Here is a 20,903-nt window from a genome sequence, read left to right as displayed (position 1 = left end):
CCAGTGCTTTCGCCACATCCAAGCTTTTAAAGACACTCTTTCCTCTTTTCCTCTTCCCCTCCTGTTCCCTTCCCTCTCTCTGTCTGTCTCTGTCTCTGTCTCTATCTCTGTCTGTCTCAAGGACTCCTGCTTATCCTGCAGGACCCAGCTAAAAAATCTCACATCTTCTGTGGCGCCTCCGTCACCTTCAGACAGAATCACTCCCCCTTCTGAGCTCCCATTGCTTTGGGTTTGTATTTTTCAGAAACAAACAAAAACTGCGTTTATCACTCAGTCATTATTTGTTTTCATGTCTGGGGCCCCTGCTAGACAGAGCTTTTAAGGTAAAAGAAAATGTCTTAGTCTTTCTTATTCCTCCACGCTCCTTCCTCTTGCCACTACCACTGTCACTTTCACCCAAAAGGTGCCAGCACCATGCTTGACACATTGTATAGGTGTAGTAATGCTTTGTGAATTAAAGCAGGGGTAGAAGAGTGTCGAGGTGATGGATAGCCCAGCCCTGATTTGATATTTTGATACCTGCCTACAATGTATAATTATCAAATCAGGGCTGGAAGCTCATGTACCCCCAAAATATGTACAACTATGATATATCAATTAAAAATCCAAAAAAATAAAAGCAAGGGGAAGAACCAGAGACAGTACATTAGTCTGAGAGAGGCAACCCTATAGAGGAACCTGGAGGAAGGAGAGGATTCTGCAACTTGGCATAGCAGGGACAAGGTGGGGTATGACTGGACCTAGGAACTGCCTACATGGGCAGTTGGAGTGGGGAGACGGTGGGGAGGTGTTGTTCACCCTGTTCGACAGCCTTGTGGAGTGTCATGGTGGTCACTAGCATGAGAGATGGGGTGGAAGGTTTGGCAGGGATGGGAGGGGAATGGGGAACGGCCATAAAAGAGAAGGTGGAGGTGACCTTTAGCAAGAAAAGGGGAGTGGTGGGTACAGGGTAGGGTGATCCCAGCAGACAGAACCGCTTGTGCAAAGGCCCCAAGGCAAGTGAGAGCCAGTGCCTAAAAGACCCAGGAGTGGAGCCCAGTGTGGGGTGGGGAGAGAGGTCAGTGGTGAGGTTGGGCTGGTGGAGTGAGCAGCAGCCTGGTCACACAGAGAGCTTTAGGACAAGGCGAGGGTGGTGGCCCTTACACCTGTGTCTGATGAAAACCTCCCTGTCCTTCAAGGGTCACTTAAGGATGAAACGGCCTTTCCCTGTCCACCCAAGCCAGCAGGGGCAGTAGTGGGCCTACTTCCCTTGCCAGATGGAAGCTACCAGAAGGCAAATGATAGATTCTAACCCCTCTCCTTCCTCACCCAGCTCCAGGGGGAGGGAGAATTGAGGGACAGGGGCAGATTTGGGTTCCCTGCCACATACTAGCTTTGTGCCCTTGGATGCCCTACACCAACACTCTGGTCCTCAGTTTCTTCCGTGAATACTGACCCACTGAGGACAAAAGTGGGATAATGATATAAACCCAGAGGGAGTTCACGAGGATTAAATAAGAGTATATACAAATGCTCCGAAAAGGCTGTTCCAGCATTTATTCTCCTGTGTGCTGTTAGGACAAGGTGACAAGGAAGGAAGCAGAGGCCCAGGGTCTCCAGTTTGAAGGAATCACCAAGGCCCCTGCCCTCTTTTGTGCTGTTGTCTTTGATGACATTTCCAAGCGATTAGAAGCCCTGGTGGGGGCAATATCATGCCGTTTATTTGAAATCGACTTGAAAGCAATCAATACTATATTTTCTAGGGGGAAACACAAATTTAGCTTCCACCCTTACTCCAAGGGTGCAATGCGTGCAGAGAGAAGATACAGTGGTGCCTGGCTAGAAGGTCCCTCCCTCTTCCTAGGCAACCAGCAGTTCTCAGAGCAAAGGAAAATGGGTCCTTCCTGGCGCTGGGGGGTGAGTTGGGGTGGGCCCAAAGCTTTCTCCACTGGGAGTCACAGGAGCCACTGGCCCTCCCCACTGTGGGATCCAGTTCCCAAGGAGGGTGCCAAACAGACCTTCTGCCCCTACAAAAACAAACCTGTCTAATTGCCTTTAATCTTGGGCTGTCGGTCCGCTGGTGTTGGTGCTGAATAGTAAAAGGAGATCATATCTTTCCCTTTGAGTGAGAAGTTATTTGATCTCTGTGTGTCAGAGGAAAGCCTGTGCCCAGGGAAGAGGTGGGGACGGAAGGGGAAGGTGGAAGAAGAGAGGAGCGAGGGCCTGGCTGGCGGCCGAGGGGAGGCTGCAGCTGAGGGCTTTATTTCTCCCAATAACAATCATAAATAAAGGGGAACAAGCATCTCTCTTGTCTTGGCTCAAGGCCATTGTTTTGTGCAGGGCTTCTTCTTCACCCCTGCCCCGCCCCTCCCCGCCTCCCTCTCAGGCCCAGGATGGGAAGACAGCTTGTCTGCAGGGAGAAGGAGTGGGCTGCCAGCTGTCTCACCTGGAGGGGTGGGAGAGGAGGGCTCCGTAGACCTTGATGCAGCCCCTGCCCCGCCTCTGGCCTTGGGGCTCCCTCCCCAGCTCTGCAGGGGCCGCCAAGATGCCCCAGATGATTGCAGTCGCCTCCACCAGTCTCCCGGCCTGCGCTCCCTCCTGTTCATTCTCAGCAGTTGTCAGTGGTCTTGTTGAAACAAAGCCGGGTCACAGATCTCATCCCTCTGCTCGTGGCCTCCAACAGCATGGTCCAGCTCAGGGGAGAGGCCTGGCCCCTGCATCAGTCTCCTCCGTCTAGCTACACCGGCCACAGTTACCAGACGCTCTCCCGCCACGGGGCCTTTGCACCTGCTGTCTGCTGCCTCTGCCTGGAATATCTCCTCCCAGGTGGCCACATGGTTGGCTTGCTCACCTTGTTTTTTTCTTTGCTCAAATGTCTCCTTTCTCAGTGAGATCTTCTCTGGGCATCTTTGATCTAAAATTAATTAATCCTACACACATTTTATCTTCTTTCTTGTCTGGTTGCCATTGCTAGAACATAAGTTCCATGAAGACAGAGAATGTTTTCTGCTTTGTCCAGTGCTGTATGCCTGGGACCTAATAGGTACTGAATGACAGCAGGAATATTTTAATAAATGAATACCCTAATGGACAGCTGCTGCCTCCTCTGCCTGCACACCCTGTTTCTGCATGCAATCACATGAAGTCTCCCTGAAATTCCTGCTCATGAAGGCCTAATCTCGAGCCCTGCCTGGCCAGCACACACTGCATCTCCCTTATGGTTCCACCCTGGCCTGTGATGTGGGCTGGCCTCCCGTAGAGCCTTATCATCCTGCAGAGCTTTATGGCATCTACACAGTTCTCTCACCTTATCTTCTTAGCACTCTCTGAGGTCAGGACTATCACCCTGGTTTACATTTAAGAAAAGAAAGTTCAGAGGTTAATGACTAATTTACTTGAAAATAACACCACATGTAAGTGGCAGGGCCAGGACTCAAACCAGATCTTAGCTAGAGCTGTCCCCTTGCTGCCCAAGGTCCCAGGACACCTGGTCCCCCCTCCCTGGCGTGCGCAGTCATGGCTGAGCTCTCAGCCCTTTTTCTGCATCTGCTCACCTGCCCGGAGAGAGCCTCCCGGGGTGGAGTGGGGCATTCTCACCTCCACCAAGGCCTGCTTCATACCCCACGGAGGAGATGGAGACTCATTCTGAGCCCTGCCAACACTTAGAAAACCAAGTTACAGATGGGGCGGTAGAAGCTGGGAGCACCCAGTGGACCTCTTCCTACCCTCAGGCAAGGGGCTGAAATCCACAGCCTCTTTCTGGGAAGCCCTTCCCTCCAGCTCTGGGCTCTCCATTTCAAGAAACACGGGGGTGGACTGCGTGCAGTGGCTCATACCTGTAATCCCAGCACTTTGGGAGGCCGAGGCGGGTGGATCACTTGAGGTCAGGAGTTCTAGACCAGCCTGGCCAACATGAACCCTATTTCTACTAAAAATATAAAAATTAGCTGGGCGTGATGGTGGGTGCCTATAATCCCAGCTACTTGGGAGGCTGAGGCATGAGAATTGCCCGCCTGGGAGGTGGAGGTTGCAGTGAGCCGAGATTGCACCACTGCCCTCCAGCCTGGGCGACAGAGTGAGACTCCGTCTCAGATACAAAAAAAAAAGGAAACACTGGGGTGGTCCTGGATGTAGACCCAGAAGGAGGAAGCAGACAGCCCCTGCCCGCAGGTTCGTGTGCAGGAAAATGATGGTGGGGCGTGAGGGGTGCACCCAGCTGTGTGACCTTGGGTGAGCCTTTTGAGGCAGCTTCTTGCCCGGAGAACCGTGTTCCTGGGTAAAGCTGGGGAGATTTGCCAGGAGGAACCATTGTCTTGGAGAAGAGGTGGCAAAAAGGCACACTAACACGTACTCCGAGTGTGAAAGGATGGGCATGATAAAGGCCACTCTCTCCCTGTGAGCGCCATTCCTGAGCACCTGTGTGCCAGTTCCGAGCCCGGCATCCTGGATGCAGTGGAGGTGACAGGCTGAACAGGCTGAGCCGCGCATCTCATTACTCTAGCAATAAGCTACCTTGCATTTTCCATGATCAATCCTTTTGGGATCTCATGAAGAGTGTGGGTGGCAGAGGACTTTACCAATAATCCAGGTTGATGGAAATTCAGGGTACGAGGCAGACAGGAGGTTCTTTGCTAACATGGGCCAGGTGTGCTTTCATGAAAGAGCGTCAGCCTCGTTGTTGGGAGTCCTGCCTCAGCCACTTGTGGGTCGGGTCACCTCAGGCATTCCCTGGCCTCAATTTCCTTATCTGTACAGCAAGTAGGTTGGGCTTGTTGCTCCTGGGGAGCTCTTGGAGTCTCCTGGCCCATCCTGGGTACACAGGGGATCTGTGTGGGACCAGCTACTATAATCCTACCACTTGGACAAGTCCAAGGCAAACACCAAGAAGGGTACAAGACAGCGTGGTATTGTGACTTCTGAGGGCCAGCCAGCCTCTGAGCTCTGGAGATGCCTGACTGCCCCTTGCTGAAAGACATTTATCTGTCCCGTTGGTGCCAGCATGAAGGCCCTTCCTGACTACTTGGGCCTCCAGCACGTGGGACACAGAGTGGGGCCAGGCAGAAGAAACTCGTGGTCAGATCCTCTGCCAGGAGCATTTCTCAAACCCACGTGGGTCCCAACCCCTCCCACTGGAGCTGGGGAAGCTTTGAGGCACCTTGGTCTCCTGGTCATGCCGTGTGTCAGTTACCTCTTAATTGTTGATCACCTCCCATGTGCAGGCCCTGGGAAGTGCTGGGCATCAGCTTTGAGCAAAACAGGTGCCATGCATGTTCTCATGGAGCTCACAGGCTGGTGGGGGCCAGACACTGAATATGCTTTTTAAGTGTGGCAAAGGCCTGAGCCTGGTGGGAACATAGAGCAAGGGGGGTTTAACCCATACTGGGGGACAGGGCTGCCTCCCAGGGTAAGAGATGTTACTCAAGGCACGAAGAATGAATGGGCCATGGAGAAAGAGGAAAAAAAGAGGAAGAGACCCTGGGAAGGCCCTGCATCTGCCAAAGGTGTGGGGGCCACAGCGCCAAAAGCTACCATCTACTGAGCCATCATATGCCAGGGTCAGCTCTCAGGGCTTTGCTTATAGAGCTTTATTTAATCTTCCCTACAGCCTTTGAGGGAGTGATTATTCTCTCTCCATTTTTATAGACGAGAAAAAAAAGTCACAGAGCTTGCAAGTGGCAGAGCTGGGATTTGAACCCAGGAGCCTGGAGTCAGAGGCTTCTCTGCTGTATAACTGAGAGAACGGGGATCTTCAGCAAATGCCCCTGGTGAGGTAGGACTAGAAGGGGGCAAGTGGAAGGGCCAGGCTAGGCCCAACCAGAAGCAGAAGGAACAATCTGCTTCTTCCCAGCAGCAGAGTTAGCCTAGCAGTACACAGATGGCCTCAGCCACAGCCCTGGACTCGCCTTGATGGCATCTGGCGGTGGCTGACCCACTCCCAGGCTCTGTATCAAAAGGCTTAGGGAAATGGACTTGCTCTTCAGCAGAAGGGATTGAGATGAAACCACAGGACGAATTTCCCAGCTGTCATGACCATACGCTATTAAAACAGGCAGCCGAGGGAGGTGGAGGCCCTGGTGGGAAAGGTTAATGCCTTGGTTGCTCAGAGCTGCTGGAGAGGTGAGTGGGGCAGGGGGAGGTCCAGGATGACCCCTCCAGTGTCTAGAGATGAGATCACATCACACAGATCAAAAACACTGTCCCACAGGAAGAGGGCACTGTCAGCTGTCCCCAGGCTGGTGCCACCCTCTTCCTGGGACCCTGTCTGCCCCAGCCCTGCCATCGGACTTCATTAAATTGCATTTTCCCAGAGCAGGGCAGGCCGGTGACAGAATGAGTCAACGTCAGCTTGCTACAACTGTCGCCCCTGGAGCCGGCGGGCATAGAGGGAGATAATTGGGAGTGGTTTGACAGCTTAATGTCTGGGGCTGGCTTCCTGGAGCAGTGGAGGGACAGGGACGGGGCGGGAGCCAGTGAGGCGGAGGCAGGTGGATTTGGGCTGCCCCTGTCTTGAGAATGACCACCCCCCACCACCTTTCCCCTCCATTTCCCTAGCAGCAGCTTGTTGGGCAGGAAAATAAAGCACCGGGAAGGAAATGAGACCTGGAGAATAAATTAGGCTTTCTTTATTAATTTGTCAGAACTAATTAACATCTCCCCTAGGTTTGTCTCCTCTCCAGATGCCCCCTAGAGCCAGGAGGAAGGGAAGAGTCTGGGAGAGGCCAGGTTTGGGCTTTGGAATCCCAGCCCTGGCCTCTCCCCACAATACCAACCCCAGAGCAGAGAAGGACAGAAGAGGTGTCACTCAAAGGGGGTCTGTGGTCCCGTTCTAGGGACTGCAAGCTGAGAGGGCCCCCACAATGCATTTTGTCCACTTGCCTAGGGTTCTGAGCCCCAGACACCCCTTGGCATTTTACCTCTCTGTGTTTGTGTCACTTCAATGAAACAGAGTCAGTGCCCACCTCATTCAGAGTTGGTGGGAGGATGGCCTGCGACAAGCACTGCTCAGAGAAAAGTCAGCTCTCATTATTTTGAGAGACAGAACTTCAGTAAAGCTCTGGAAGGTTCTGAGTTCTTTCATACTCATGAGGTCACTTTGGTTTGACCCTAGCAATAATCCCAAGAGCTATAACAAGCAATAATTGGTGTTCCCATTTCACAGATGACACAGCTGAGGCACAGAGCAGTTACATACGTTACAAGGCCACACAGCGAATGGCTGGCAGTAGCAGGATCAGTGCTTAGCTGAGCAAGCACCCTGCTCCCCAGCCTCCCCTCCTGAGCACACACCCGTACCCCCACATCTGCCCCACTGCAGAGACCTGACTCACGGCTGGGAGTCTCACTTACTAACAGATGCCTCACTTCCTGGGTGTAAGTTCAAGGTCTCAGCCCAGGAGCCACCCCAAGCCACAGAAGCTCCAGTGCTACTGTGGGCTGCTCTTTGACTTGGGCAAGAGCCTGGATTTGTTTCGCAGAGTTGATGCCTTTTCTCATATACCCCCCATCCCAGAAAGGGGCCCAGCCCTGGTTTCAGAGAGTCACCAACTCTAAGAAGCACCTCTCAACAGGCGCAAGAGGCCCTTGACAGAGCCACGCCTTGCATACAACACCTTGAAGGGTTGCAAAATCCATTCTGTTTCATATCCCGCCATGCTGCGATCACATCCTAGAGGTTTCATTTCCGCTGAGCTACAGGACCCTGGGAATGTGGAAGTGAACACTCCCCACCCACCGTCCCACCCCCAGGCCTGAGAGCTTGTTGCCTTCCACACCGGCAGCCTGTTGGAGGGTGGCTGCAGAGCAGAGACCCCCAGACTGGCCAAGCCAGATGGAACCTGAAGGAAGGATCAACCGAGCAGCCTTCCTGTGTTTTAAATGAGGAAACTGAGGCTTGGAAAGAGAAAGCCACACAGTTCACTGGCTCTTGGCAGCAATGGTATTAGTACCTGGATCTCCTGACTCCCAAGCCAGGCCCCTTTCACGAACTAGGTGTCCGCACTTGACAAATGACATTGTAACTAAATGAATTTGTCCCATTAGGGACTCTCAGAGCCAAGAACGGGCAACCTTCCAGGGGAGGTGGGGTGTATGCCAATGGTGTCAGACCAAAGGTCAGCATCCAGTGCTAGGTCACACCACACCCCCTCCCTGCCTCAGTGACCACAAGGGCAGATTCTCCCCCAGGCCTCCTGGCAAAACCCTCAGGCGGGCCCTCACCCCAGCAGGAGACATAGAGTCCTGTTTCAGGGCCTCGAATCATGAACACGGTTGTCGCTACAGTGCCTTTTCTCCAGTAACACAGTTCCGGCTCCACAGTTTGTTTCATCTGATGGTCTCCCCACACCTCAGGGGCTGGGGTGGTGGTGGTTCCCACTTTAAGAGGGGGAACAGAGACCCAGAGAGGTTGTGATTTTTCCACAGAGCTAGACCTGGAAAGCAGCCCCATCTTCTGAGGCCTTGGAGAGAAAGGGTGAGCTGGTGGGGTACACACTACACTTGGAGTCAGGAGACCTGGCTTTGAATCCTGGCTCTGCCACTAACCGTGACCTTGGCAACCCCGAATGCCACTTAGTCTCGATGTCTTCAGCTGTCTCCTAACACCTGCCTTGGAAGGCTGAGGACTTCATGAGCACTCCAGGGAATGCACCTGAGCGTCTTTCAAAAGGCCCTACCCCAGACTCCTGCCACTCTCCCTTGCATGTTTGTGTGTGATGAGGGAGCAGGCATAGATGGAACGGGCCCTCCAGTCATCCTGTGACTCCAGCCAGGCCTCGAGGCCCAGCCGTGCCTGCCCGCCAGAGGGGCCAGAGTTGCAGGGGTGGGGCGGGCCGCTGGGGACAGGGGCCTCTGCTCTCCAGGACTCGGGGCTGGGCATTGACAGAGCTGGGTGTGGCCGGCCTGGGGAGAAGGACGCAGAGAGAGGGAGGAGCTGGGCTAGTTGGCGTCTGCTGGCCGGGGGCCGTGGGAAAGAGTCCCAGAGTTCCCTTGAGGACAGTCGGAACTCTTAGACTCCAGGAACTCAGGGAGGAGACTGGGAAAAGTCCCCTCAGCTCAGGTCAAAGCTCCAGCACTGGTCCTTGTTTTCCTGCATCCTTAGGGCTCATCACATGCCACAGTATAAACACAGGCCTGTGCTGGTACCTACCAGGGGGCCGGCTGGCAGAGACACATGGCACTTCCCCTTATCCTCTGCAGAGATGATGATCCTAGCTCTTTGCAGAGCTCTCCTGGGCCCCTACCTGAAAAACATAGGACTCCAGGACCAGGGCAGGCACCACAGGCCAGAGTGAGGATGCTGATTTTCGAGGAAACAATTGAGCTGTCTGACACCCATTGTGGAGCTTTGAGGCTGCCCATTTTTCTGCAGGCTGGCACAGGGCAGCTTAGAGAATCCACACAAATGGGAGCAGCTGTGGCCTTTGGGGAGGGCCTGGAGCCCACTTTGGGATGCTAGAAAGGGTCTTGCTCTGACCCTGAGGAATGGTCTCAGCTTGCAGCCCTGTCCATGATCCTAGGGTACCCACATATCAGTTTCGCCACCTCCAGAGCAATTATTCTGTGTCAGGCACTTGGCTAACCATGTACATACGTTATTTTACTGAATCCTTATAGCCATTTTGTGATAAAGTATTAGAAACTGGGGTTTCATGTTACAGATGAGGAAACTGAGGCTCACAGGGTAAGGCAACTTGCCAATGAGTGGAAGAGCCCAGCCCCAGGTCTGTCCACCATGCGAACTCCCTCTCTACTCTCCACTGCTCTCTCCTTATGGGGAGGAACTACCTGATCCCCAGCCCTGGTACCTGATCCCACATGCCCAAGCACACCATGGGACAGATTGTGCTTCCCTTATAATAAGAGGAATTGAGGGTAGATATCAGGAAGAACTTCTCCACTACTCAGGGGTATAGAACACTTTAGCAGTTTCCCAGGGGGAAATGGTAGAATCTCATATGCTGAAGACCGTGAAAGAAGGGGAAGAGACAATTTAATCACCTGGGTGGGGTTTTGTGGAGTAAAACCTTGCCAGTGTCGGGGGTAGTTATGACAGCACCCTTCAGCTGGGAAAGTCTAGAGGCTCAGGCCCCCAACTCTGGTGGGGTATGACCTCTGTCTGCTGCCACCTTGCCAAAAGGGTCCAGCATGGGAATTGCTTTTCCAAGAACTTTCTTGTCCAAGTCCACTTGGGAGCCTTTGCCAACTAGTGCCTGGGGCAGCATGTCAGGCAGGGCAGGGCCTGGGCCTGGGCAGGTGTGGTCCCCAGCTACCTGTCTGGGCACTAGTTGGATCCACATTGAGAGCTCTGCCATGCCAAAACCCCGGTTTTTGCTCTTTCTTTTCCCCTTCCCTGTCCCTGGTAAGGAGCTGGGAGAAGACTCAGGCTGGGCAGGACACCGAGGGCTTCAGCCTCTGCAGCCCATCCTGCCTGTCCTCTGGGGAAATCACTCTTCAGAATTTGTTGAGAACTTATAATGTGCACACCAGTGATTAGGCACTGCCTGCCTAGAAAGCTGGAATCTGGTCTTAAGAGAGGGTTCCAGTTGAGGAGACAGAAAACCAAGGGGCAGTGTCAGTCTGAAAGGGAGCACAGTGGACCACAACCAGAAGACTCAGGTTCGGGTTCTGGATCCACCACCCTTTAGCTACACAACTTGGCAAATTTCTCAACCACTGGGCCTCAGTTTCTCCCTCTGTAAAATGGGACTATCAGTCCTTGCTCCAGAAGATGGAAGTGAAAAATAGGAGATTCTGAGTGCCTGGTAGATAGAAGGTATTCAGCCAATAGTGGTGGAAATAAAATAACTTGCTGCCAGAATTCTGGGAAGCAGGAAGCACAGATACTGACCACCAGTATTTATTTTTAGGGTTGCGGGAGCCTACGAAGGAGAGGGGCTGAGCCTTATAAAAACTTGGGCACATAATCTGTCTAATCACTTTGAAGATGAAAAGTTGCTGTGAAATGCCAACCGTGCTGATGGGACCAGGGCTGGAGCAGAGATGAAGAGACACAGCAGGGCCAATTGTGCAAAAAATAAAATGCATATTTTTTTAATTGCTTGAGTTCACATCTCATAAAAGAAAAAATAATAAAGCGCAAGCCCTTGCATTTCCCTACCCCCCTCTCTCGGCTGTGAGTCAAGAACCAGTTCCCACCAGTCTTTCTGGGGTTCAAAGCGTCTCCCCGCCCTAATCCTCACCTCGACCTCCCCGCCCCCCACATCTATTGTGGGTGAGAGGGCCTTTCCCTGAGCTGCTCGCAGGCTGCCCCTCCCAGGCCCGGCCTCTGCCCGCTGCAGCGGGCAGCACACAGAGTGGGCAGGCCTCATAGGAGGCGGGGAGGGGGCTGGAGAGACAGGATGCCCTCCCTCCTCCCCTGCCAGGTCTCCTGTTGATCTTAGTGCATTGTGCAGGTGACATCGCGCGGCTATCTCACTATTCTCAGGCCTCAGCATTGGTTCTTCCCTAGACAATGTGGCAAGATGCCTTCCAGCCTCGCCCCATCCGCCCCTATGCCGCCTGCAGTCCTGCTTTCCGGGGCCTGCCTGAGCCTGTAACCCAGGAGAGGTGGAGGCCTTGGGCCAAAGACCCACTGAGCCAACCCTGTGCAATTCCCACCCTGGGGAACCCACCCTTTCCTGGTTCCTGCCAGCCCTGGTCCCTGTGTCCTCAGAAATGGGACAGACCTCCTGCCCCTTTCTCTTGCCCCCAACACCCAGCCCTGACTCACCTCCCTCATTTCCCACTCAAGCTGTGTCTCTGGGACATGTCAGGACAGGGCACCTGATTCTGGTCCTACAGGCTCAGGCTCTGCCCGCTCTCAGTGGGGGTGGGGCAGCTGGGGAGGATTTGCTTTGACCTGCTTCTTCAGCTTCCCTCCCTCCTCCAACCCCACCCCAGGGGGCGGGCGGGGTTGAACTCCAGAACACCTCCTGATTGCACTGACAAGAGGCCCACTCTGCTCTTCGATGCTGAAGTCTAGCTGGGGGTAGGGTGCTGCCCATCCTCACCTTACTCTAGGCAGCCTGAGTCGCTGAGCACTGTGCGGGGGACACCAACCTGCCCTCCAAAGACAGACTTTTACCTTTGGGCTGGGTTCAGTGGCTCACGCCTGTAATCCTAACACTTTGGGAAGCTGAGGCAGGTGGTAATCACTTTAGGCCAGGAGTTCAAGACCAACCTAGGCAAGACCCCCAACTCTACCAAAAATTTAAAAATTAAAATATATGTATAGACTTACCCAGACACCTTCACCCACCAGGACTGTAAGGCTGTGCCTTGTTGCCTCTTCCTCACCCCTTTGGCACCAAGAGTGTAGAAGAAGGGTCAAGAGACTTGGATTCTTTTTGGCTTTTCAATTAGTTTATTATATAACCTCATGTAAGACACCTCACTTTTCTGGGTCTTAATTTCAACATCTACAAAATAGGTAGCACCTTCCTCTTGATTATTCCAGGATCCAGGACCCTCCTGGTAAAGGGGGCTGGAGGAGCGTGATGGGATCAGCACTTGCAAACCAACCTGGGGAGCAAAGGGGGGTGCTCCCACTTCCCACTGGAGGCATGAATTGAATGCGGCCCCCACATATGCAGCCCATCAGCCTTTCTCTTACAGAGAATCTCATTTTGGTAAATAAGCATGGCCCTCACCAGGGATTCTGGTCCTTCTTTGATCACTCAGCTTCCTAAGAAGTCTTGATTAAAAGATCGCAGTGACCTGAGAAGCCACCAGGCACCCCCATCCCTGAGTTGGTTCTCTGGGATTTGACTCTGGCTCTCAGTTCATCCAGCAGACCTGGATCCAGGGCCTACTGCGTGCCGGGTGTCAGGCTGTGTGCTGGGACGTCGGGGGTGAGCACGTCTGTCTTCATGGCACAGCCAACACTGTGTGCCAGGGAGAGCTGTTTGAGCAAGGAGCCAGGTGCTGTGGGAACCTGAGGTCAGAGCTGATGCCAGTGTGGGACCTGAGTGTTGAAGGGTGGGTAGGAGTTTTCCACTGGCAGCGGGGACTGGTGGGGAGGGTGGGGACCTGGGAGGGGTGGGAGAGGGAGATGGGAATATGGGCAGGGACAGATTGTGAAGGCCTGATAAGTAGTTTAGATTTACCCCAAGGCAGTGGAGAGCGACCGGGGACTTGTGTAACAAGATCTGATTTGTATTTAAATCCACTTATTAGCAGTGTGGCTTGGACAGATCACTTCCCGAGCCTGAGCCTCAGTTTCTCAGCATACTGGGGAGACGGATTACCTAACGTAATACCCATTAGACAGTGGGTGCTCAGTAAAGGTGTGATATTTTCAGTACTGTGATTCCAGATAAGAGACAGTAGGAGCCTCACCTCCCTGTGGAGTTGCAGGGAGCCGAGGGAGCTGAATGGCTGTATTCTAGACCTTCAGAAGGAGAGTCAAGGGGCTATATTGATGCAACTGTGGTTGGGCCCTGGGAGGGGTAGGGCTGAAGGAGCAGCTGGAGAGAGGAGTTCAGTGCACATGGAGGGCAAGATGCCTGGGGGGGCAGCAGGACACCTGGGTTCAGGCCCTCAGCACAGGGGTATCATTGAGGGCCTGCCCTGGAGTGGACCATGGGCCAAATCAGCATCCCCATCCCCTTCTCTCCCCTATTTCTTCCTCCAGGGTTCCCCTCCCCAGAGTAATACAAAACTGGTGTGTCACCATCAAGTTCAAAGAGCAAACGTGTTGCCCACACTGCCCTCTTCAGCCCACATCACTTCAGGCCAAGGCAGGCGGCTGTGAGCCAAGCAGGAAATAGATAGAAGGTCAGGAACCTTCTGCAATGAGAGGTAGTGAGCTTCCAGGGGACCCAGGCCTCCCAACTGCCTGCCTACCACCAACTGCTCCTTCTCGCCACAACTGGCTGCCTCCTGGCTTGAGCTATTTGCTTATCTGGTGACCCAGAGGCAGGGTCTTTGTAACCACAAGAGAAACCACCACAGTACATTTCTATGGGCTAGTGTTCAGTTGATGATTCTTGCCCAGGTGCTCCTGGGCCATGATCACACTGCTGAGCCAGCCGAGCCACGGAGCCAAGCCATCCAGGCTCAGATCACTCCTTCCCACCCCTCTTCTCCCTGGGTCCGACCCTGCCAGCTCCTGCTTCCCCTGATTCCCACTAACTGCTTGGCAATCTTGGAAGAGCTCTCCTTCTCTGCCCCTCCATTTCCCCCTCTGTGAATGGGGAGTCAAGAGCAGACAGTCCCTGTCTCAGAGCTGCTAGCTGACCAATGCTCAGCCTGGTCTTTCCTTCTGCCCCAGACTGGTCTCAGCCTGAGTTCCCTGTCCCTTTGACTTTCCTGTTTATACACAAAATTCACCCACAATATTTTAGTTTTCCAATCAAATCATTAATTACCCCAGTAATTAAATCTAATTAGCAGTGGTAGGGGCCTTTCTGAGTGAGGAGTCATTAGCTAGGGTGAAAATGCACGGGGGAGAGAGAAAAAGAAAACCCACCCTTTCCCAGCATTAAAAATGAAAGCAGGAGTCAGCGCTGCAACATGGAGGGCCCCTACTAAAGCTGGGCCTCACTCATTAAGCTAATTTGGTGTGCTATCCCAGTAGCCTCTGCTGGGGAAGCCCGGCTTCACCGTCCAACATTAGAGGTGTGTTGGAGCCCCCTGCGTGTTTTGGAGGCTGAGCTGGGCCTCCCAGGACCCCAGTGCCCCAACTCAGGGAGGGGTGTGAGGAGCCTCTGCTGACTCTTCATGAGCACCTGCTGCCACTTCCTGGGCTTCATGGTGGTCATGGCCCAGAGTGGGAGGGGCTGAGTGAAAAACGAGGAAAAGAATAACAGCACCTTCCACTCCTGGGCCTTGGGAAAGGACAGAGCTTGGCAGTCACTCTCCTCTCTTGGCCCGAGGCTGAGGGGACTCCCCACTCGGGGTAGTTGTGAAGATTAAATGAGATTTTACATGTAAATGGATGACATCACAGGTGCTTGATGCGTGCAGCTGTCATTCACCCTTTAGTTTTCAGAGGTGCTCAGCATTCCTTTTTCACTTGGTCCTCACCACCCCACAGCTCCAGGAGGCAAAGGGTGCAGGTGCCACCTCCAGGTTTCACAGGTGGAGGAGCTGAGGGGCAGAGAGAGAGAGACACACACCCCGAGAGTGGCAGGGTTTGGACTGGAAGTCAAGTCTCTGAGCTCTGGGACGAGGAGGCAAGAGGAACAGGGGAAGAATGGGGGCTTTTCATGTCTGGAGTCTTCAGTCATATCCTTGTGCTGGGCTGCCGGGGTTGCTAGCCCCTGTAGTCCTGGGGGAGGTGGAGGTGTCAGCTCAGCCTCCCGCAGAACGAAGGAGGAGTGGCAGGGGTGGGAGGATGGTGCCTGCCCTCTCTACAAGGCACTCCCAGCAGCCCCATCGTCAGCCTCAGGCCAGCACTGCCAGCAGGCAGGGGCTGCTCACCCAGGTCTGGTTCAGAGGGTGCTGGCCGCTCTTTTCCCCAGGAAGGGGAGAGAGGGAGGCCGTGGAGCTATGAGTGTGGTGAAGAACGTCACCTGTGGAGACAGACTGCCCTGATCAGAATCAGTCTTGCAGACTGTGTGACCGTGGGCAGGTGACTTGACCTCCCTGAGTTTCCTCATCTCTAAGATGGGGACAATCTCGCTCCTGGAGTGTTGTAAGGATTAAGTGAATTAATGTATGTAAATATCCAGCCCCAGGCCTGGCACAGATCAGCAGTGCACATGTGTTAACTGTTCTTGCCATCCTTTGGGAGGGGCCTGGCAGGGAACCTGACCCTTTTGTACTTTCTCCCCCAGGGAGGGAAGGAGGGGAGCACTTGAGCCCCAGCTTCTGCTGCTGCTAAGGGCATGGGCCCAACCTTGGGGTGGCCGAAAGGAGGCAGGTGGCAAACATGGGGTCCACTTCCCACCCCCGCCACCCACACACACACACACACACATCACTGCCACAAGCCACTTCTCGGCTTTCAGGGGCCCCTCTGCACAGAGCCAAGAGAGCATGGGAATGGAAGGAGGGAAGGGAAGGGAAGCAGGTGGCCACCGAGGCTGAGCTGCATCCGCAGCTGGGCGCGAGCCCCGAGCCTACGTGCTGGTTCCTCCGTGAGGCAGTGTGCGGAGCAGGCCCTGGCACGCCAACCCCTACCCAGTGACTCCTGAAACCCCGACAAGTCTGAGCTGGAAGCGGGGCTGGGCGAGGCTCCTGATAGATTCGTGTTGGGCAGAGGGATGGTCGGGCGGGGAAGCATGGGAAAGACCCCACTCTCGAAACTCTGACACCACTGGGGATGCTGGGAGGGAGCAGGTGGGGCTGGGGACATGCGGCCAGGCTCAGGGCTTCTACCTTCTCCCTCTCAGGCCCCTCACCCCACATGCCCCTGCCCGGCGGGGCAGGAAGAAGACAGGCCGCGGCAGAGGAGGGATGTGCTCCCCTCAGCATTTTGCCAAGTGATGATTTCAGTGCTGCTGAGAAAGAGGGAGGAAGGGAGGATGACAGCCGGGAGCTGGGAGCAGGGCAGGCCAGGCAGGAGGGCTCCCAGAAAACTCCTGGGACTGGGGAGGTCATTTTATACAGGAGCTCTCCCTCCAACCAAATGAGGTGGATGTGCTCCGGCCCATTTACAGGTGAAAAGGCTGGGTTTCGGGAAAGTTATGAGACTTGTTCATAGGTCCTACTGCTAGTTAAGTGCCAAGGCTGACATTAGCACCAGGAAAAACAAGGAAGCCTCTGCCTTCCCACCGCCCCTTTCAGCCTTCTGGGCACTGGGGAAAGGGAAAGCCCAGGGACCTGGATGTGTCCACAGGCCCTGCTGTAGCGGGGCAAGAGCAAGGCAGAGAGTGGGCAGCACCGTGCCCCCTGCAGGCAGACCACCCGCAGAGCAGCCTTCAGCTCAGCTGGCCTCTCCCCAAAACCCCATGTCACAACCTTTTGAAGATCCCACTTTCCCCGCCCACCTCAGGATGGGGGACTCTCAGGTGGAAAGAAAACTGTGAACTGTGGCTGCCTGCCCTCCAGGGTGACCCCAAGCTGGGGCTGGGTTTAGACCTGGAGCTCCAGAGGAGCTGAGTTCAGGCCTGCTGCTGCACTGAGGGCCATGCGTGGAGTTTGCTTCGTTCTGTGGTTAAACCAGGAAGAGGTTAACACTAGAGTTGGGGTCATGACCCGGGTTTGTGTTGTGGTCTAGGTTGGCACTGATGTTGAGACCTGGGCGGGGGCTACTCTTGGGGTTTCTGTGAGTGGTTGGGGAGAATGCTTTTGGTGGTTAACACTGGGGCAAGCACATTGAGTTGGGGTATTCCAGCTCAGGCTGTGTCCTGAGAAAGGGTGGATGAGTTTGGGAGGCTCAGCACTAGTTGAACAAAAGGCCATTGCTTATGTTTGGAGGATAACTGCCCATTTTCACAGGACCATTGGCCAGGGGAGAGAATCGGGGTTGGGGTGGTAGTTGAGCCGGAAGGTAGGTTGAGGTGGGGGGCGGCGTGAAAAGTGAGTGGCTTCTGCAGTGATGGAAGGGCCACTCAGAGTCCCTGCCCCTGTCCCCGAGTTCCCCCACCTCTGTGGCATCCTGTGATGTGGGACCCTCCCCACCCCAGGCCCCACCCAGATGCTACTCAGACATAAGCCTGAACATCTGGGCACGGGCTGGTCTCCCCTCTGTGGGGTTTGGGTTCTCTCATCAGCCAAGGGAACACAGGGCCGGGGTTTTGCCTCTTACCCCAGCAGTCCTGAGGCCCTGATCTGCTGGTGCCTGGGGGACCTGCCCTCCTGGCCTACCTCCGGCAGCGCTGCTGGAGACCCTTTGGTGGGGGCTCCTGAGGCCACACTAGCTGAAGAAGTCAAGAGAAAACTCAACTTTAAGCCTTTGCTAGTTCCGTTTCCCATCCCCTTTTTTTTCTGGCCCCAGCCCCTGGTCATTGAAGCACATCGGATAAAGACTGCCACCCCCCAGCTCGGAGGTCTGTGATCCAGGAGCAGAGCTCATAGGGTGGCAAGGAAGCAAGGAAGCCTTTATTTTTTATTTATTTATTTTTTTTGTTGTTGTTGGATGGAGACAGCCCTGAGCCAGGAGACATGGAAAGAGAGGCTGGCCTGCTGGGGTCTCAGTCCATGGTTGTGCCACCTGAGACACTGCAGGGTGACGTTTCACCAAGGAGGGGCTGCGAGGAAAGGAGCTCCGGCTGTCTCCTCCAGCATCACAGCTCCCTTTCCTGGCACCGCCTAAGTCCAGGTACAGAAGAGGCCCTGAGCACCTTGTGCCAAGGCCTGGTGCAGTTCTTGTATCATCCATACAGGGAAGGGTTCAGCAGAAGGCCCAGCCCCACCTGGGAATGTTATGTCTAACCCAGACGTTACGTGCAATTTGAATGCAGTATCGCTCATTGGGTCCAGACCAGTGAGTTCTGCCCAGAAATGAAATAGCAGGTTTGGTGCCTATGCAGATACCTTCTTCTTCTCAAGCTGCTTTGGAAGCAGGTGGAGGGAAGAGATTGCTCTGGGGCCCTGGTCACTGATCCCCACTCGCTGTCCAAGAGTTCAAGGTCACCACTGTGCTGTGGCTACAAAGTATTATTTCAGGGGTCATTGCGGTGGGGATTGGTGAGACCAAGACCTTCTCGAGGGGATGGGGTCGAGAGCCCTCCATCCCAATGTTGCTCCAGTGGCCCCCACCTGCTGCTCTGGCAGTGCGCACGGAGCTCCTAGCCCTGCTGCCTGTTTGGAATGTGCGGGGCACATTCAGAACTTCTGAACAGTCAGGTTGCCTTCTCCTCATTGCCCCTTCAGCAGCAGGGCCCCACCCACACCCTGAAGCCTGAACCGATAGTCCCTCACTTTGCAGCTCCCTCCCACAGCAGAGTGCCTCTGGGCAGGCAGAATTCTGACTCCAAAGCCTTGCCTAGGAGCAGGAGGTGCCTGGGGCATGGATGGAAGTGCTGGGAGTGCCAGATGCCAGCCCTGGGTGGGACGGGCTCAAGGGCTGATGCTGTAGGGTCTGAATGCCACAGGGAAGGTGCGTGTGCACATGTGTGTGCTGCTCCTGAGGCTGCGAGGCTGGAACCACCTGCAAGTCTGCAATCAGGCCCTCCTATGTTCAAAGAAAAGCCAGGAGAACCAGGCCCAGGGTGAGGAGCGCAAACGGCAAAACTTAATGACTTTAATATGAAAGAATTTGCCACTAATTAAGCACAAACACTCCACTAATGCACAGAACACATGTTGTGGATTTCACTTAAGCAGAAACCAAATGAGGTGAAAATCCTTCCAAAATGATAGCAGTTTACCAGCCGAAGGAAGACGCTGCCTGACTTTGTTTCAGCTCTTAGAAACCTAGCGCAGCCCCTACCTTGGCAGCCTCCCTCCCCTCCCTGTCTAAAGGTGCTCACAACACCCCACCGCATGTCCCCTGTGTCCCTCCCCTCGCTGCCCCTACCCACCCTCTTGCATCCTCTGAGGACACACATGCCACTCTATAACCCATATTCTGACAGCCAGCTCCCCAGAGGACCCTGTTCTCTCTACCTGTCTCCCCCAAACACAACTCACTGCCCCTCCTACAGAGCCCAGACTCTCCAGCCCTGTTCCCAGCCACTTCTGGACCCTCTGTCCCTGGACAAACAAGGACAGTTCCCCACCAGAGTGCCCCCCAACTATGTTTCCCACTCCTCTCTGCACCAGCTTGCCACAGCCAGCCCTGCATGTCCCTCGTGAGCTCCACCATCCCTGCCTGAGCTTTACTCCCTTCCTCTAGGCCAGTGGTCTTACCCGGGGATGATTTTGCCTGCCATGGGAGATGCAGCAATGTCTGTGGTTATTTTGTCATCACAAATGGAGGGGGTGCACTTGGGTAGAGGCCAGGGATCTTGCTAAACTTCTGCAACACACAGGACAGCCCCCCACAACAGGACAGTCCCCCCCTCCAAAATGTCATTGGTGCGGAGTTCATTCGTGCCCTGGGGGAGTAGCCTCATCACTGCAGGGGTCTGCTCAGGATCACAGGGTGGGCTTAGAGCCGGGATGGGAATCAGGGAACCAGAGCACGTGATTTCTAGGTAGGTTCTTTCTCCTAGCAAATAATACAACTGCTTGTATAGCATAGCTATGGGCCAAGCACTACGCCAAGAGCAAAACTGAATTATTTCATTGGATCCTCAAATCAGCCCTAGGAGATAGTACTATTACTGGCCCCATTTTATACATGAGGAAACTGAGGCATGGAGAGATTAATGCACCTTTCTCGAAGTCAACCAGCTAAAAAGCAGCAGACACAAACCCAGGTCTATCTGAATTCAAAGTCAGCGCTCATAGATTACTTTCTACCCCTCCCCCCGCTGCCATGTTCCTCTTAATCTCTCATCTGTCAGGCCTTCTACACAACCCCTAGAACTCCCACCCCATCCCTATTAGAATGAGTGTTCCCTGCAGGTAGGCATTGTATACCTTCCCCCACTGCCTTCCACTCACCCCCCCGGCCATCCGAGCAGGCAGCTGCCCATAGCTGGACAGGGCATCGGGAGGGTTGGGCGCTGGGGTGGCCCCACAGGCCCCTCCTGGGATGAGGCAGATCGAGAACCCTCTGCTTCCAAACAGGTGTTGAACATCAGCCTGAAGCCTGCGGGGCTGAGACAATGCAGATGTCAATACTGAGCTTTTAAAAGATTCTCCGGGGAAGCCTGGGGAATTCTCCCTCTGCTTTCTCGGCAGCCCCCCGCCTCTCCCACCCCCACACTAGCCTTCCAAAGAGGCTGCTGCCTACACTCCCCAAAATGTGTCATTAAAAATGCACACTTGCCGAGGGAAATCCAGGCTGCCGTGTCTGCTACAAGACAGTGTTGTTTGCTGCAGCTGGGGTGGAGAGGGTTGGCATCAGCGGCAGACAATGGGACCTGCCTGAATCTTGGCCTCAGAGCCAGGGGGTTCCAGGTTGGCCAGACCATGAAAGGCTGGGACAG

General features: G+C 54.4%; 1 protein-coding gene across 3 annotated transcripts in view, besides 7 other annotated features; it reads left to right on the top strand.

The window, feature by feature from the left end:
• NECTIN1 (nectin cell adhesion molecule 1) overlaps positions 1 to 20,903 on the top strand; it is a 91,103-nt gene that overhangs the window by 20,891 nt on the left and 49,309 nt on the right. The window lies entirely within an intron of this gene.
• Positions 11,424 to 12,049: an enhancer, noted in NCBI's record as "H3K4me1 hESC enhancer chr11:119566971-119567596 (GRCh37/hg19 assembly coordinates)". NCBI's record gives its function as "activates a minimal SCP1, AML or CMV promoter by ChIP-STARR-seq in naive and primed H9 embryonic stem cells {active_cell/tissue: H9 hESC(naive and primed)}" and the evidence as "EXISTENCE:reporter gene assay evidence [ECO:0000049][PMID:30033119]".
• Positions 13,338 to 13,885: an enhancer, noted in NCBI's record as "H3K4me1 hESC enhancer chr11:119565135-119565682 (GRCh37/hg19 assembly coordinates)". NCBI's record gives its function as "activates a minimal SCP1, AML or CMV promoter by ChIP-STARR-seq in naive H9 embryonic stem cells {active_cell/tissue: H9 hESC(naive)}" and the evidence as "EXISTENCE:reporter gene assay evidence [ECO:0000049][PMID:30033119]".
• Positions 13,734 to 13,823: a silencer, noted in NCBI's record as "silent region_3982". NCBI's record gives its function as "represses an Ori minimal core promoter by ATAC-STARR-seq in GM12878 lymphoblastoid cells {active_cell/tissue: GM12878}" and the evidence as "EXISTENCE:reporter gene assay evidence [ECO:0000049][PMID:35858748]".
• Positions 13,886 to 14,435: an enhancer, noted in NCBI's record as "H3K4me1 hESC enhancer chr11:119564585-119565134 (GRCh37/hg19 assembly coordinates)". NCBI's record gives its function as "activates a minimal SCP1, AML or CMV promoter by ChIP-STARR-seq in naive H9 embryonic stem cells {active_cell/tissue: H9 hESC(naive)}" and the evidence as "EXISTENCE:reporter gene assay evidence [ECO:0000049][PMID:30033119]".
• Positions 15,173 to 15,899: an enhancer, noted in NCBI's record as "H3K27ac-H3K4me1 hESC enhancer chr11:119563121-119563847 (GRCh37/hg19 assembly coordinates)". NCBI's record gives its function as "activates a minimal SCP1, AML or CMV promoter by ChIP-STARR-seq in naive and primed H9 embryonic stem cells {active_cell/tissue: H9 hESC(naive and primed)}" and the evidence as "EXISTENCE:reporter gene assay evidence [ECO:0000049][PMID:30033119]".
• Positions 15,900 to 16,625: an enhancer, noted in NCBI's record as "H3K27ac-H3K4me1 hESC enhancer chr11:119562395-119563120 (GRCh37/hg19 assembly coordinates)". NCBI's record gives its function as "activates a minimal SCP1, AML or CMV promoter by ChIP-STARR-seq in naive and primed H9 embryonic stem cells {active_cell/tissue: H9 hESC(naive and primed)}" and the evidence as "EXISTENCE:reporter gene assay evidence [ECO:0000049][PMID:30033119]".
• Positions 18,287 to 18,787: an enhancer, noted in NCBI's record as "H3K4me1 hESC enhancer chr11:119560233-119560733 (GRCh37/hg19 assembly coordinates)". NCBI's record gives its function as "activates a minimal SCP1, AML or CMV promoter by ChIP-STARR-seq in primed H9 embryonic stem cells {active_cell/tissue: H9 hESC(primed)}" and the evidence as "EXISTENCE:reporter gene assay evidence [ECO:0000049][PMID:30033119]".

The sequence above is a fragment of the Homo sapiens genome, chromosome 11 (genome assembly GCF_000001405.40).
Source record: "Homo sapiens chromosome 11, GRCh38.p14 Primary Assembly".
In the NCBI taxonomy this organism is placed as follows: Eukaryota; Metazoa; Chordata; class Mammalia; order Primates; family Hominidae; genus Homo; species Homo sapiens.
The sequence above is the reverse complement of the archived record's forward strand: the minus strand, read 5'-3'. Positions and strand labels throughout refer to the sequence as shown.